At 41.8% G+C, this 18,191-nt stretch overlaps 1 pseudogene across 1 annotated transcript; it reads left to right on the forward strand.

The window, feature by feature from the left end:
• Positions 1-13,530: 13,530 nt before the first annotated feature.
• On the forward strand, positions 13,531-15,845 carry LOC105370980 (putative uncharacterized protein UNQ9370/PRO34162; annotated as a pseudogene). Its single transcript, NR_172652.1, has one exon. The product of NR_172652.1 is annotated as a putative uncharacterized protein UNQ9370/PRO34162 (transcript).
• The last annotated feature ends 2,346 nt before the right edge of the window (positions 15,846-18,191 follow it).

The following is an 18,191-nucleotide window of genomic DNA, read 5'->3' on the forward strand; positions in this document are numbered from 1 at the left end:
TTTCCACACCACCACAAACACTTTTTTTTATAGTAGCCATCCTAATGGGTGTGAGGCAATATCTCATCATGGTTTTGATTTGCATTTCTCTGATGATTAGTGGTGTTGAGCATCTTTTCATATGCTTGTTGGCCATTTGTATATCACCTTTGGAAAAACGTCTATTCAAGTCCTTTGTTTAAATTGGGTTATTTGATTTTTTATGTTGAGTTGTAGGAATTCTTTATGTGTTATAATTTTTTTTTTTTTTGAGACGGAGTCTCGCTGTGTTGCCCAGGCTGGAGTGCAGTGGCATAATCTTGGCTCACTGCAAACTCTGACTCCTGGGTTCACGCCATTCTCCTGCCTCAGCCTCCTGAGTAGCTGGGACTACAGGTGCCCGCCACCACGCCCAGCTAATTTTTGTATTTTTAGTAGAGACGGGGTTTCACCTTGTTAGCCAGGATGGTCTCCATCTCTTGACCTCATGATCTGCCTGCCTCAGCCTCCCAAAGTGCTAGGATTACAGGCATGAGCCACTGCGCCTGGGTTTTTTTTTTTTTTTTTGAGATGGGGTCTCGCTCTGTCGCCAGGTTGGAGTGTAGTGGCACGATCTCGGCTCACTGCAACCTCCGCTTCCCGGGTTCAAGTGATTCCCCTGCCTCAGCCTCCTGAGTAGCTGGGACTACAGGTGCGCACCATCACACCTGGCTAATTTTTTGTATTTTAGTAGAGACGAGGTTTCTCCATGTTGGCCAGGGTGGTCTCGATTTCCTGACCTCGTGATCTGCCTGCCTCAGCCTCCCAAAGTCCTGGGATTACAGGCGTGAGCGCCTGGCATATTCTAACTATTAATCTGTTATCATCTATGTGATTTGTAAATATTTTCTCCCATTTCATTATTTTGATTATGTCTTTTGATGAACAGTTTTTCAGTTTGAAGCAGTCTCTGTTCTCTGTTTTTGCTTTTGTTGAATTTTGTTGTCTGTGCTCTTGATGTCTTAACCAAGAAATTATTGACAAATCCAAAAAATCATAAAGCTTTTCCTTTGATATTGATTTAAAAATGTTTATACCAATATATGTGTCACTGGAACAATCTTACCAACGGTAACTCCATGTAGGTAAAAGATTGTTAGCTAAGTGGGGACGAATGTCTGTGTGGGAGAGTCACGGAGCAGTGCGTGTTGGGGGAATGGGCTTACACCCTGGGGATACATAAGGACTGATTTGGGACATAGAGATTAAATATAGTGGATCCACAATTCCTGATGAATTTATTAATGTTATTGACAGTTATTTGGAGAATGAGGGGGTGCACAGTCTTGGAAAAAGGACACATCATAAAGCATGCAGCCTCTCTTATCTCTCCTTTCCTTTCTTCTTCCTTCTGCTCTGTGTGAAGTAGCATCTTTTCCTGCCCACTTTTAGATCCCAGAAGCTCAGCTCTGTTTTGGCAAAGTTTCTTCACATTTTCTCAAAGTAAGTGAATCTCTCCCCACAAAAATTCTTCTACTAGCTACAAAAAGACAAAAGGAGGTATAGTGATTGGTGTGTTTTTATAAGACTCAAGATTATATAAAGTATTTTTATATTTATCATTTTAATCAACTATCAGGTTTTTTTTAAAGACCAAAATACCCTATATTCAGACATGTGTTTTGCTCAAGGGCACATTCTCACACTTGACCCTGGGCATGCATATACGGATATCTTTCTGGAAGTGGTCTTGCTGGGTCGAAGAGCACGTACATTTTAAATTTTGATGGACTCAGCCAAAACGCCTTCCCCAAAGGCTACACCAATTTTCACTCCTACATTCAACATACCAGGGTCCTAATTTTAGCATACTTTGGCAACACCGACTTTAATTTTTGCTGATTTGATGGATTAAAAATACCCCACCATTTACAGTAATATTTCTCCATTTAGTAGGGTGGTTGATCATCTTTTTGTATATTTATTTTCCATTCTTATTTATTTTCATTTTTTGAATATTTGTTTATATTCTGTGGTCATTTTTCTATTGATGTGTTAAATCAATATATCCTGATGCGCCATTTAATTCCCTTGTCTCTTTCACTACGTATTTTTTAGGTTATTTTCTTAGTGGTTGCTCTGTGCTTATCATTAACATTTTAATTTATAACAATATAGTTCAGATTAATACCAACTTAATCTCATTTGTGTGTATGCTCTGAGATATTTCCATTCCTTCTTCCTTCTTTATGCTGTTATTATTACAAATTACATACACTATGTGCTCAACATAGCACATTTATAATCATCTTGTTTTCCAGCTTTATTAAGGCATAATTGACAGATACAAATTATATATTTAAAGTGTACAATGTGATGTTTTACAATACATATATATTGTGAAATGATTACTACAATCAAGCTAATTTACGTATTCATCATCTAACGTAGTTACCTTTTTGTGTGTGTGAGCATACTTAAGATCTCTCTTACCAAATTTGTATTTATTTATTAACTTTTATTTTCAGTTCAGGGGTACATGTGCAGGTTTGTGATATAGGTAAACTCATGTCATGGTGGTCTTTTGTACACATTATTTCATTACCCAGGTATTAAGCCTAGTATCCATTAGTTATTTTTCCTGATCCTCTCCCTCCTCCCACCCTCCACCCTCCAGGAGGCCCCAGTGTGATCGTTTCCCCCACCGTGTGTCCATGTGTTCTCATCAGCCAGATAGATAGAGAAATACTGCATGATCTCACTTATATGTGGAATCTAGAAGAGTTGAAGTCATAGGAGCACAGAGTAGAGTGGTGGTTATCACGGGACAGGGTGTCGGGGGAAATGGGGAGATGCTGGTCAAAGGGCACAAACTTCCAGTTATGAGATGAATACATTCTGGAGATCAAATGCACAGCACAGTGACTATAGTTAATAATAATGTACCGTATAATCACTTTTAAAATAAACTTTTTGTATACCTTTATAATTTATAAACTTTTTGTTAGGGACTGAATGTTTGTGTCTCCCTGCCCCCATTCGTATGTTGAAGTTCTAATCCCCTGTATTTGGAGGTAGAGCCTGTGAGGAAGTGATAAAGGTTAAATGAGGTCAAAAGTGTAGAGATGTAATTTAATGGTGCTGGTGCCCTTTTGAGAAGAGGAAGAAACTCCAGCACTCTGTCTTGCAGCCACGTGAGGATAAAATAAGGAGGTGCCATCTGCAATCTAGGAAGAGAGTCCTTTCCAGAAACTGCATCAGCTGGTACCTTGATCTTGAACTTCCCAGTACCCAGAACTGGGAAAAATAGATTTCTGTTGTTTACGCCATCCAGTCTGTGGTATTTTGTTGTGGCAGCTTGAACAGACTAATACACTTTTTATACACTTTTATAAACTTTCTGCATACTTTTATAATTTATAAAAATGTTTATAATGACCACTTTATCTAGTTGTGTGTGTGTTTTTTGTTTTGTTTTGTTTTGTTTTGTTTTTTTGAGATGGAGTCTCGCTCTGTTGCCAGGCTGGAGTGCAGTGGTGAGATCTCGGCTCACTGCAACCTGCACCTCCCAGGTTCAAGCGATTCTCCTGCCTCAGCCTCCTGAGTAGCTGGGACTACAGGCGCCTGCCACCACGCCTGGCTAATTTTTTTGTATTTTTAATAGAGACGGGGTTTCACCATGTTGGCCAGGATGGTCTCAATCTCTTGACCTCGTGATCTGCCCGCCTCAGCCTCCCAAAGTGCTGGGATTACAGGCGTGAGCCACCTCACCGGGCCTCTAGTTGTGTTTTAAATCAGATAGGAGCCAAAATGACTCACAAACAAAAACTAAATGTACATTGTCTTTTGTATTTACTTATTGACTTATGTCATTATCTTTATAAGTGCTCTTTATTTCTTCACATGTATCTGCATTACTGTCTAATGCTCTTTCATTTCTGCCTTTGGGGCACTCTTTATTTATCTTAGGGCAGGCCTGCTAGTGACATGTGTACTGGGAGCACACTTCAATCCTTAGACAGGCAGTTTGCAACTCTGCCTTAGCCCTCACCTTCTGTTTGTGCAGAGCCTCAGGGTCGTCCATATGTGAGAGCTTAGAGACTTCTCAGATCTTTACTGAACACGTGCATATCCCCCGGCATGCACATGGCCCTATGCACACATGTGGCCTCTTAGCTTCTCAGGAATGACAGACATTTCCAAAGCCCCATTGATACCTGACTCCTGGCTTTTTCTTCTTCTTTTTTTTTTTTTTTTTTTGGTTCCTGGTTGTTGTTTGTCCTAACTGATATCACTGCCTCAGGCAGCTGCAATGTTACACAATTGCTGCTGATTGTTTTGGATAGAAGCTTAGGGAAACGCTGTTCGTACTGAGCAAGCTCTGAGGCAGGTCAAATAAAGACAAATGCTGGTGGTGGGATTTTCCAGGAAAATGCCAGATATGACAAATTATGACACTTCTCTGAAGGGGATTCTGGAGAACATTCAACCTCATTTTATCTCTTGGAGTGGCTGTTAGGCTGCTGGTTTTCAGGGCTGTTTGCAGGACTGTCTGGAGGACTGTCAATTTTCAAAGCTACTATGGGGCTAGAGAGAAGGAGTCAGGAAGTTAAAATGCCACAAAGCTTGCTGTTCTTACTGAGACTCAGCCATTTTCTTGAATAAATGCCTCATGGATTTCCGCAACTGCTGGTTAACTTCCACAGTTCTGAAAATGCTGATTTTGACCATTTCTACCAGCATTTTTATTTCTTTAATGGAGGAGAAGACTTTCAGAGGTCCTTACTCCACTATTTCCACTGATGTCATGCCTTGTTGATTAAGAATATATATATATATACATTTTTTTTTGAGGTGGTCTCCCTCTTTTGCCCAGGCTGGAGTGTAGTGGCACAATTTTGGCTCATCACAACCTCCAACTCCCGGGTTCAAGTGATTTTCCTACCTCCACCTCCCAAGTAGCTGGGATTACAGGTGCCCACTACCACACCTGGATAATTTTTGTATTTTTAGTAGAGGCAGGGTTTCACCATGTTGGCCAGGCTGGTCTCCAACTCCCAACCTCAAGTAATCAGCCCATCTCGGTCTCCCAAAGTGCTGGGATTATAGGCGTGAGCCACCATGCCTGGCCTTGTTAATTAAATATTAAGTTTGTGTGTGTGTGTGTGTGTGTGTATGAATGAGTGATACACACACCCAGGCACACACAATACACATGCACACACACACTCAGAAATTTTTCTCTAAGAAATACCTTAGCTATGTTTCTACATACTTTCATATGTTGTCTTTATTATTATTTATTTATAAATAACATAATTTTCTTATCTTTTCTTCTTTGACTTTAGCACACTATTACTTTTCCTCCTCAGCTTTTATCCCCTTACATGCTATAATTATCGGGGGTTTATTTCTTCTTCTTTTCCTCCTCCTCCTTCTTCTCCTCTCCATCTTCCTTCTTTTTCCTTTTTTTTTCCTTCTCCTTTTAGCATTATATTACAGTATTTATTTAGACTAAATTATGTTTTATTCATTGATTTGTTAACCATTATTTCTCAAATCCCACACCCTTCTGTTTTGGAATTAATTAATTAATTTATAGAATTCTTGACTCATTCTCCAGTGAGAGTCTGGATGCAAACATTTTGAGTACTTAATGATTAAAAATGTCTTCATTTTATAGTTGTTGTTTTTGCTGCATATAGTATTCTAGGTTCAAAATAATTTTCTCTGTGACTTTGGTGCTTTTTTCTAAAATCCAGTCTGGTTTCTCTTCAGAATGAATAAATCTTTTGCCTTTTAAAATCCAGTATTGCTGAAGAAGAGTTTTATTTCTATGTATTTCTTATTTCTTAAAGATGAGGCTCTTTTCTTTCTGGAAAAGAAAGAAAGTTCTTAGAATATCTTAGGTGTACTAAAATTTCATCAAGCATATGGCTCCATTAATTAGTAGCTGTCTATACTTGGGCAAGTGATTTTAGTCTCTCTAAACAGTTTTCTCATCTGTACCGTGGGAGAAATTATGAGTTGGGAACTCACAGGGTTGCTACAAAGATGAAAATACATACTGCATGTAAACCATTTAGCTCAGTGTCTTGCTCTGAAACAGTTCAGCTTTACTATTATTGTATTATCTACTCAGTAGGCTATTTTAATCTGAATGCTGTTTCTTCCATTGACCATTCCCCTCCTCCCCCATTAGTTCTTTTGTTTTTCTCCCTTTTCACCATTTTCTCTGTTTTCTCCTCCCAATGGATGGAAGTTAGATTTTTGGATACGTTCTTCAAATATGTTTTCTTTCTTATTTAAAACCTGTCTCTTTTACCTACATACTAAGAGATTTTGTTTTTATTCTCTTCCTTCACATTATTGATTTTCCTCAAATATCTAGGGACCCCATTAGCTTTCTGCATGCCAGGAATTTCTTATGATATCTGCCCTATGGCTGGTATGCCTTCCTGTTGTCCAGAGCTTTTATGAAGTTATACTTAAAACAATAACAACAGCAAAACAAGAAAACTCTTGTTTGTCACTTTAAGTGGTATGGATAAGATTATAAACAGTAACGCATCTTAAACCATCATCTCGATCCTCTAACTTGCTCTTTTTTTCTCCTCTCAAGATAGTTTCAAGGTAGCTTTGTTTTTGTATAGATGCCGAAATCCATGATCTCTATAGCCATTTTGGAAGATTGAAAGAAATACAAGTAAGGAAATAAACAATGCCACTATTCCCACCACCATTCTAGAGATATCATTAATATGTTCTTGTTTCTCTTTTTAGTTATTTTATGCATATGAAAAAATAGAATCCTATTGTACATTGACTCTTGTAGCATGTTGTGTTTATATTCATAGAATGTGAACATATTTGCATGTTATTAATATTCTAAATATTTTTTAGTAAATGTATAAGATTGCATGTATATACCAAAATTTATTGACTCAATTCCCTCATTGGTGAACATTTCCATTCTTTAGTGCAGCAGTGAGCATCATAACAGGTACATCTTTGCTCATGTCTGTGGTTGTGTCTTTAGAATACATGAGGGAAGGGTTTTGCAGAGACCATTCCCTCCATAATTCCAAACAGGTGTCCAGAGAAGTTACACCAGCAAAGACGGCTGTGATTTAATGTGAAAATTCCTTTGCTTTGGGTGATGGATATGAATAAGGAACACAACCTCGTTGAATGTAATGCTTCCCAAAGCTAGCCAATCATCAATTATCTAGGGGTACTTATTTAAATCACAGATTCTTGGACCCACGCTTGGAAATGCTGATTCATTAGGTCTAGTGCTGGGCCCAGGAATTTATATTTTTAATAAGCTCCTAGGTGATTTTAATGGTTAACCAAGGTTAGGAAACAGGATCTAGCAACTGCAGAGCCTGGGCACGGGGGCTGAGGGTAGGAGGGACAGATGCCGGGTCCCTGGTGTTTCTCAGTAAGAAAGGTGGTGATGGTGAGAACAGAAAAGGGACATTCTGAAAGTAGGACTGACCATGTTGGAGACTGTTTTGAAGTGAAGAGCAAAGGTATGAGCTCCAATGAGTACTTAAGGTTTGGAGCACAAGAGAGAGACTTGGTTGATTGTGGTGGCATCAGCTGTTTGGAAGGAGAAGATAGCTTTGCCCAGGAATTGAAACCTGGATTTCAGTGGGCTCTGTAGTGTGTACCACGTGAGACTGGGAAGTTCCCTTTCCTTCTCTGGGTCCTCAGCGTTCGTGTAATCTGAAGGCGTTGGACAATATCAGGGACTTTTCAAGCTGTGGGAGCCCAAAGCCACTATGGTGGAGGGGTGACTGAGAAGGTGAAAATCCTTCTATGCTCACTCTTACCCTCCTTCAGAGACCCCAAATTTATTTGCTTTAAATTAGAGCCCTGTGTAAGATTGTGTCTGCAATTTTTTTTTGCTGCTGCCAGAAAGTTTGAAAATCTCCAGACTAGATGACCTTTCTGTTCTAAAAAGCCATATTATTTTGTGAACCAAGACCGTGGGGAGGAAGAACAGGGAACTGAATGGATCAGAGGGGCCATCCGGAATGAACATTTCAGGCCTCATTTGAATTTGAAGGCTGACCCGTTGGGTTATGGCAGTAGCTCTCAATTTCCATCTCAGAATCAGTGTATTGCCTGAGTCAACTCAGAGTGACCTCCAAGGAGAATTCTAGTTGACTTCTCATCAGATGCTTATATTTGACTTACTGGGGGAAGGCCCTCACTTCACAGGACCCCCAAAGTCCAGAGAGATGATGCTGGTTCATATGTTAACACTTTGGTCATGTCTTGCTGTTTAAGTATTTCAACAATAGAGTATGTGTGACCTTCTTTCAGCCTCCTTTCAAGCTGGGAATTTAAGGTGTTCTGTGGAATGTTATGCAAACAAGCCTTTGGCTTTGATCTCTGAGAATTCTTAGGAGTAAGAAGGGAGAAGATGAGCTGGGGGCCTGGAGGGATTAACTGTGAAAACCTGGCCAGGCTTTGTTGGACAGGGAAGCTGGGGTGGAGTGTGGGGTGTCTGGGGAACAGATGTGAGCCTGACTTGATCTTCTGCAGCTGCAGACAGAGGTTTGCCAGAGGTGACTGCGAGTTCCCGTGGCGGCCAAAAGTCCTCTTGGGGTAGTCCACCAGTGGTCTCTTCTCTGACTGGAGCTGGAGTTAGTGTAGGATTTTTGCAATTTGATTCCAGCAACCATGTAACAGGTTGGATGGAGAAAGGATTTCTTTTGACAAGCCAGGGATTTGATGGGTCTTATCTCTGTGTTATTATATTCATTTCTAAACATTCCAGAGAGGTGATGGAGGAACAAAGCCTGCCTTTCTCAGTAATCTTTTATTACTTTGTGATCCCGATGAAAATGATGGGCAGGGCAGGGTAGGGCAGGGTCAGAAAAACTGTCTCCCCTAGAGCAGCGTGTCCCCGAGTTTGTTACAGGGAATACTAGTCCCGAGAGATGCTTCAGATGATTTCATGATCAAGTAGGTTTAGAAATTCTGCACTTGGTGTTTTCCTCTGGATATTCCCAATGCAGATTCAAACACTAAAGGCTCTGAACTATCCTATAGTCAAGAATTCTCTGAATTTATTGCACTGAAAATTTCTCAGTTGGCCAGAGAATTACAATCATTTTAGGTGGAGAAGAGGCACCCTTTGATATCAAATAGATGGAACTTCAAGAAGGGCTGGCCTCCAGGTTGGGAAATCAAGGCATCCATGATGTGCTCACAGAGTGGCGTTCCTGAAGCTATTCCTTTCCTCTCTGGTGGCCTCAACAACTTGGGAATTTTTCCTTAGCAACCCACTCTCTGAGTTATTCCAGATAGAGTAGCTCTGCTTGCGATTTCATTTGAAGAACAAGACCAATAGCTGAAAAGAGCTTGAGTCAAATTCCCACACAGAGGGAAAAACATTCAGAACTTAGAATGAAACTTTTACTAATTTATTTTTTATTTATTTTTTGAGATAAGGTCTCGCTCTGTCTCCCAGGCTGGAGTGTAGTGGCTTGATCACAGCTCACTGCAGCCTTGACCTCCCAGGCTCAAGAGATCCTCCCACTTCAGCCTCCTGAATAGGTAGGACTACAGGCTTGCACCACCATGCCCGGATAATTTTTAGGTTTTTGGTAGTCATGTTGCCCAGGCTGGTCTCGAACTCCTGGATCAAGCAATCCACCTGCCTTAGCCTCCCCAGGTTCTGGGATTACAGGCCAAATGAGGCTATTTTTAATGCCAGCTTCATATTTCCTCTCTATTATTCCGAAGGAACCAGAGGTGGCCAGAATGTAGCATCCTTTTGGCCAAAGTAAATATTTCAGGGACAGATAGCTGACCCATAAACAAATCATGCTCAAATAGAGCTTATCTCACGACTTGAGGCCCAAGAATTTACAAATAGGTATTGTCTTTTGCACTGGACTTGGAGTGGTGGGGATGTGAGCCTGTTGACACCCTTTCCCCATAAGAGAGAGCCTGATAAAGGAATGAGCCAAGACGTGGAGAAATATCGGGCCTTGATGTGTCATTTGAGTGCCTGGATCCAGCCAAGCTTGGCATCTAGGCTGTTTGGTTATGCCAATTTGAGTTTTCTGTCTAAGTGTTTTTACCAGTATACTTTTCGTGAGAGACTTTTTCTTGGAGCTAAATGTCTGAGATAACAAGAATTCACTTAAACACCCCTTCCCACCTTGCTCCACCCCTAAAACCAGAGCAAGCACTATTAAATAAATTATGACAGTCACCATTGTTATATACTTTAAAATAGTAATTTACTCTCTTTTGTCCTAGAAGATACTTGGAAGTTTGTCTAGTACAAAGCTCCATCTGATCCTTCAGGTACCTCTACAGAATGTCCACCAGGAAGTTTTCTGGCTTCTGCTTAAATTGTCCTCAGGACCAGACAGCTCAGGAATGCTTGAGGAAACATGTGCTATTTCCAGGCAGCTTTAATCAGGCTGATTGGCATCTGCCCGCCTGTCATTTTGCCTTTTGGTCCTGGGCTAACTGCAGACCAAATCTAATCCCTCCTCCATAGGACTGACTTTCGGATTGTTGAAAATAGCTAAGCCTCCTCTCTCACACACCAGAAAAATGTCCCCAGCTCTTGCAGTGGGGCCAGTGTTGGTTTTCTTCACGGCCCTACCATGAGCATACTATAATGGGTTGTGAATTTATTTCAACACGGGTGGCTTTCATCTGTGATTCCAAAAGTACTATACGTCCATCATAGACTATGCAGAAAGGTAAGAAGAGGAAAACAAAAATTCACCTGTGAGTAAGCGGCCAAGACATGAGCCCCTTTGACCTTCTGATGGCTCTTCCTCCATTAGTTTTATGCATGTGGCACACATGTGGTTGTGCTGGTGTTGTGTCCCCTTCTTCTCTCTGCCCAAGAGGTTGGGCTACAGTGGGCCACACTTGCACAGGGGCTTCTGTGTCCCTGGGTTTCTGCTGGGTTTAGACAGTGAGGTGCTCAGGGCACAGATCTAACAGAGGAGAGAGGTCAAGTTGTTTATGTCCCTGATTCCTCCCTGTGGAGTTGCCTGGGGCTGATTTGTCCCTCTCAGGGCAGCCTACTTAACACTTCTCTGTTGTGCCTGCAGTGGCTTCTGCCCTGGGCCCTTTGCTACTTACTAGCTTTGAGCTCCTGTGCTGGCCTTTTAGTTCCCTGCTCCTACCCCTTTGTCAATGACCCATCCTCCCGTTGTCCTAGTTGAGTGCTGTTTCCAGTAGGAACTTAAAACTGATATGATTGTATTTTGCAAATAAGAAACAGACTCTGCACACTGACATATAACCTGCTAGGTCATTTCTTGGGATATGGAAAACCTCTTTTCATGTTGTTAAATATTCCTCTACAACGTGATGAATGGCTAAGTAGGTTTTAGATATATTTTAAAACAAATGTACCAGAGTTTATTTCAACTTTGAGGAAGTTAGTTTTTCCTCCCAATTTACTTTCTTCTTATGACTTTGAAAGTACTTTGGTGAATATCCTTGTCAGTAAATCTTTGCACATGTTCATGTTTATTTCCTTAGGATAAATCTGCGGAAGTAAAATCTCTAGATCAATAGAAATGAACATCTGAGAAACTTTTGCTGTATGTTGCCAGATTACCCTCCAAAATTTTTAAAATAATTGACGCTGCTTCCAACTACCTGTAGGAAGATTTGTTTTCCGACACTTTCTCCAACATTTATTTAATGTTATAATAAAATAATACCGTGTTTGCTTTGTAATAGGTGCTCTCCATTCCTTTGAAGATGAAGTCCCTAGGAGTGAACAGACTCCAGGATAGAAAGGAACAGACTCCATCACCTTCTTTTTTCTGAGCATAATACCTTCATTTATATAGCCTGAGATAGTCACTGTGGTAGGCTGAACAATGTCCCCTCCAAAATGTCCACGTTCTAATCCCTGGAACCTGTGAATATGATACTTTTCACATAGTAAAAGGGACTTTGCTGATATGATTAAGTTAGAAATCGTATGGGGAAATTATCCTGGATTAGCTAGATGGGCCCGGTGTAATCACAGTGGTCCTTATAAGAAAGAAAAAGGTTCTGTGACGATGGAAGCACAGAGAGAGAGAGAGAGAGAGAGAGAGAGACAGACAGACAGACAGAGAGAGAGAGACAGAGAGAGAGAGAGACAGAGATAGAGAGAGACAGAGAGAGAGACTAGAAGATGCTATGCTGTTGGCTTTGAAGATGGAGGAAGGTGTGTATGATAAACGCACCTGACGGTGATAACTTGACTTGAGCATACACTAACAATGACCCTCTGATATGGTTTGGCTTTGGGTCCCCACCCAAATCTCTTCTCGGATTGTAATCCCCACATGTGGAGGGAGGGACCTGGTGGGAGGTGATTGGATTGTGGGGGCAGTTTCCCCCATGCTGTTCTCATGATAGTGAGTTCTCATGTGATCTGATGGTTTAAAAGTGTGGCACTTCTCCTTTGCGGCCTCTCTCTCCTGCTACCATGGTAGATGTGCCTTGCTTCCCCTTTGCTTTCCACCATGACTGTAAGTTTCCTGAGGCCTCTCCAGCCATGCGGAACTGTGAGTCAATTCAACCTCTTTCCTTTATAAGTTACCCAGTCTCCGGTAGTATCTTTATAGCAGTGTGAAAATGGACTAATACACTCCGTATGGCAGATGCACCTGAATGTGTGTTCGGAGTCCCAGGCTAAGAAATCCGGGAGTAGCGACCACCCTGGAGATCCATTCCTTATTTATGAGGAACATCTGAGACCCCGGCCTGGCCCATGGAATGCAGGCTGTATAGGGGATCAAGGCCTTTTATTTTGGGTAAAATGAAGTTTGCCAGGTGAAGATTGTTTGGGGGAGGGCGCTAAGTGAAAATGCTATATAGACTGCATGCCTTTTATAAGTGCTTGCAGTTCTTCTGCCCAGCCTGCTGCCACTGGACTCACTTCCCTGTTTGTAAGCTCTCGATAAAACCCCATGTCTTATTTACTGGCTCCAGGTCTCTTCTTTGGCCTTTTGAACATGGGGTCCTCCCCATTGGAGTCTACTGGGGCTTGGCACCACAAGGTGTCACAAGCCAAGGAATGCAGGTGGCCCCTAGAAGCTGGAAAAGGCAAGGGAACAGATTGTCCCCGAGAGCCTCCAGGAGGAACACAGCCTTGTTGATGCCTTGACTTTAGACCTCTGACCTCCAGACCAATGAGAATAAATAAGGGGTTGTTTTCATCTGGGAAACCTGTGGCAATTTGTTAAGCAGCAATCGGAAATTACTACCGTCCCTTTCTTGTCTCCCGTTGGCTTATGTTATTTTCTGGTAAATCCAAGGTGTGTGGTTTGTGTATTTGTTTGTTTCTGCGTGTTCTGCTGCTGAACGATATCAACCCTCTCTTCAGTTTTGCCTTCGGTTCTCGGGATCTCAGCTGGAGCTTTGTCTCTGCGCTTGAAGTGAAGGGCATCAGAGCAATCCCGGAAGTGTGAGGTTGCAACAAATAGCTGCAGGGAGCCAGGTGGTGTGTCTTCAGGGAAATGGCTCCCAACCCTCTCTGCAGCTGGAAGGGGCTCTTTTTTTTTTTTTTTTTTTTTACAGGCCCTCTCAATTTTTTGCCTAAAATGTCTCTTTCAAATCCTAGCTTCTGAATTCCTTTCCCACACTTTCATCTCTCCTTTCTGTAATTTACTACTTTTTCCATTTGATCATCAGAACGTGTTAACATAATAACAATCCTTGATACTTGAGGGATCTTCTCTTACCAAGTGCTTTCACATAAATGATCTCATTAAATCTTCCTATCGCTGTGCTTGGTAAGTAGTGTTCGGTGTCGAATTAATGACCATGCCCCTTTCCCACAAAGAACATGGTTTTACTCCCAGGGTTTCCTTATATAAAACTCTAAGGCCCTGGACATCAACATGGACACACACACACACACTCTCACTCACAAATAAGGTACATAGCTTCTCACCTGCACACACACACATTGTGTGGAACTCCTCTGGGTTCAATAAGTTAGGAGAGGTATCTTAGCTTATGCTACAAAGACAGTCATGATCTTTATGCAAATTCTAGAGCCCCAAGAGGTCCCTAGTTTCTTGATGATCTGCCAAAGGCGCTCACCTGCCATGCACAGGACATGCACGGATCATGCACCCCTAGCCATAGCTCAGGTCTGGCTTTGGGTGAGCCTGGCCAAGGCTGGAAGCAACAGGAGAGGGCCTGGCAGAGCAGAGGGGACCTTTTTTTCCCTGCTCGCTGCCCTGCATGCTGCTCAGCATTTTCCAAACCTCCCCACTGCTCCTGGTGGGGCTTCACAATCGAACATTGTCAGCCCAGAGCTGACACCCAAGCCGACCACAGCCCTAAAGCATGCTGAGTGCCTCTTGGACCTGAATTCCCATAGTCTGTACCGAAAGCCACGCCCCAAGGCTGCAGTTTACCTCAATCTCAGTTTGCCTTTGAAATCTGTTCACAGGCTATCTCTGAAAAAGTCCTTTGGGTTTGGAAAACGGGACTTTGAAAACAATTCCGTTTTTATTGTAGATTCAGGGGGCACGTGTGCAGGTTTGTTACCAGGGTATATCGGGTGGTGCTGAGGTTTGGGCTTCTATGGATCCCATCACAGAAAATGGGACTTTTCATTAATAAAGGCTCCCGAGGGCTTAATCCAGAGCTGGGTTCCCCATGCGTGCTCAGTAAAGATCTGCTGATGGATGGGTTACAACACCCCGCCACCTTCAGTTTTCTGTTTTGAAGTAGCTTTGTTAGAGATGTTCAGATTTCTGTTCTCTGCATTTATTTTTATTTGAGTCCAGGAATCAAATGATGATGCTATCTGGTCCCAGCAGCCTAGAAAGGCAGCTCTCCCAAGCATTTCTCAGAGGCTACACTTTACATGAGTCCTAGGCAAACAGAGAGGAGGCCCACCCCACATTACATACACTTCCCGAGGGCCCAGGCCCTGCATAGGCTCTTGGCTAAGATGCTGCTTTCAGAGTTGGAGAGGGGAGCTGTTTGCTGAGTTTTCTGACACTCTTAACTGTTCAACTGGGCAGAGTTGTGGTTTGTTCAGAGAAGAAGCTTGTATTTAGGGAAAAAGTCATGGACAATGAATTTCTAACTAATAGAACATATTTCAGAAAGGCTGTACGATGAAGCAGAAAGAGCTGAAAATTTGGGTTTGGAAGACCTGGGTCCAAGTCCTGTTGTCGCAACATACCAGTGGTGTGGTCCTGGGCAGGTTACTGTGAGCCTGTTTCCTCACCTGTACAATGGGTATAGTAATAATAATGATCATAACTTACAGGGTTGTTGGGAACCCTTGAATGAAAGAATGAATCTGACCAGATGTGGTGGCTCACGCCTGTAATCTCAGCACTTTGGGAGGCTGAGGCGGAGAGATCACCTGAGGTCAGGAGATCGAGACCAGCCTGGCCAACATGGTGAAACCCCATCTCTACTGAAAATACAAAAATTAGCTGGGCGTCATGGCAGTCGCCTGTAATCCCAGCTACTCGGGAGGCTGAGGCAGGAGAATCGCTGGAACCCGGGAGGCAGAGGTTGCAGTGAGCCGAGATTGCGCCATTGCACTCCAGCCTGGGGGACAGAGGAAGACTCCATCCCCCCCCACAAAAAAAAAATTAATCTGAAGCATCTGAGGCTGGGCGCAGTGGCTGTAATTGCATCCAAGAGTTCAAAACCAGCCTTGGCAACATAGTGAGACCCTGTCTCTACAAAAATAAAAAATAAAAAAATTAACCAGGCATGGTGGCACATGCCTATAGTCCCAGCTACTCGGGAGGCTGAGGTGGGAGGACTGCTTGAGTCCGGGAGGTTGAGGCTGCAGTGAATTATGATTGTGCCACTGCACTCCAGCCTGGGTGATGGAGCGAGACCCTGTATCGAAAAAAAAAAAAAAAATGAATGAATGAATTTGAAAGTACATGGTATCTTGAGTTTGTGGCTTCTACTAAGGGTTGATTTTTTGCAAGTGGGCATAATATCCTCTTTGACCATTTCTGCTATGAAACATCTAGTTCAATGTTAGCACATGGTCTAACGCAGGTAAGTACTCACTGACTCAAGAAAATTCCTGATGAATGCAAAATTGGAATTAGGAGCTGGCTATTTGCTTTTCAAAACATTTTTCTTCAGTGCTCTTTTTGATACCCAAATCTCTTAGAGTACTGACCAATAGAAATATAATGCCACACATTTATGTAGTAAAAAATTTCCTAGTAGCTACATTTAGAAAGTGATCAGAATAGGAGAAATGAATTTTGACAACATAATTTCATTTAATTCACTATATCAAAAATATTACCTTTTCAACATAGAATCAATATAAAAAATTATTAAGGAGATACTTACATTTCTTTTTGGTAGAAAGTCTTTGAAATCCAGTCTGTGATTTACACTTACAGCACATCTCAATTCAGACATGGAATTTTTACCAGAAATACTTGATCTGTATTTAGAGTTCACAAAATTTACGGTTGAAAAGTAGATTTGTATACCCAAGTTGTTCCAAATATATTTAAAGGTTTTTTTTGTTTTGTTTTGTTTTTGTTTTTTTTTCCGAGATGGAGTCTTGCTCTGTTGCCCAGGCTGGAGTGCAGTGGCACGATCTCCACTCACTGCAACCTCTGCTGCCCAGGTTCAAGTGATTCTCCTGCCTCAGCCTCCCGAGTAACTGGGATTACTCGGGTGCGCCACCACGCCCGGCTAGTTTTCATATTTTTAGTAGAGACTGGGTTTCACCATGTTGGCCAGGCTGGTCTCAAACCCCTGACCTCAGTGATCCACCTGCCTTGGCCTCCCAAAGTGCTGGGATTACAAGCGTGAGCCATTGCGCCCGACTGGTTTTCTAAGAATTAAATTGAGTATCAGTTTTTTAATTTAAATTTATTACAATAAAATAAAAATTCTGTTTGTCAAGGGCACTGGCCACATTTCAAGGACTCAACTGCCAAAGTAGCGACATTATTGGACAGTGCAGCCTTGGGGTGATTAAAATTTGCTGTTGACATTCCTGTCCAGATATCCTTTCTGGGGTCTTGTCTTGAACAGATATTGAAGTACCGTTGTAAAGGTTAGAACTGCGCCTCTCAGATCTGGGGATCTGTTGAAAATACTGATGTCCAGGTCCTCTTTGATTAAGAGAAACTGAACTTTTCAGGTAGGCCCTGAGCATGAGTATGTTTTTCAAAACTTCCCAGATGATTCAAATGTGCCGCACCAGTTAAATGCTCTGGAAGATGAACTTGGGGCTAACTCATTGCAACATGTCACTCTCTGTTGACTGAGCAGTCTATGGAGATCTGAACAGAAACAAGTTGGGCTTCTGTTACATTTTTTTCTTTTTAAAAACAACTCCTCTCTCAGAGCTTTTACAAACTTTGAAAAGTCTTATTAGTGTCCTTACTAAGTGTGATAATTGTATCAATGCATTTTTAGCTGCTTTATTACTTTATAAATTAAAAAATAGTTAGCCTTTGGGTCAGCATTAAGTTGACGTGTTCTGGGCTCTTCCCAAGAACATGCTGTTGCCAATTTATCATAAATGTTGAGGGCACCTTTCAGTACTGTATTAATGCTTTTACTTATACTTTTTCGTAAACTGTATGATCGTAGCGAGATCACGCATGCCAGAATTCTAGCACAGCTACTTCTTGCCAACATATATTGACATAACGGCTATCATTCGATCGTGACTCACAGCAGTTGATCAGCCTAATTGGTTTCAGCAACATGTCTGATCTAACTGCAGTTACATCATTGTGGTTGAGTGCGTTTGGGTGAATTTCCAGAGCTATTGTTTTCGTGTCTGAATTTGCCAATTGGTCATTTATATGCCTGTCCTAGTTTTTATAGTGTGGGCATTTGCATTACTTTATTCATCTACTATTCTTCTTTACAGAAACCTAACAATAGTTTTTCGTTTTACTTGTTTAATCAACAAAACTTGAAGGTGCATCACCTACCTTGCTCCAAGGCACTAAGGTAAGTCTGATTGGCAGTTGGACTTCATTTAGCTTGCCACCTCCAGCTGCTGATTTCACGGTGTTGAAAAGCATTCTGACTGAATTCACACCTAGGCTCAGTGGGAAAGAAAGTTGTGATTGGAGGAGAGAGTGTGGTCCCATTGGCAAAATGTTTTCTGCCCTGTGCTGGGAGCTGAGGATATAAAGACAATAAGCACTTATTCCAGCAGAGATAAAAAATTAGGAACCATTCTATGATACTGGTTT

The sequence above is a fragment of the Homo sapiens genome, chromosome 15 (genome assembly GCF_000001405.40).
Source record: "Homo sapiens chromosome 15, GRCh38.p14 Primary Assembly".
NCBI classification, from domain to species: Eukaryota; Metazoa; Chordata; class Mammalia; order Primates; family Hominidae; genus Homo; species Homo sapiens.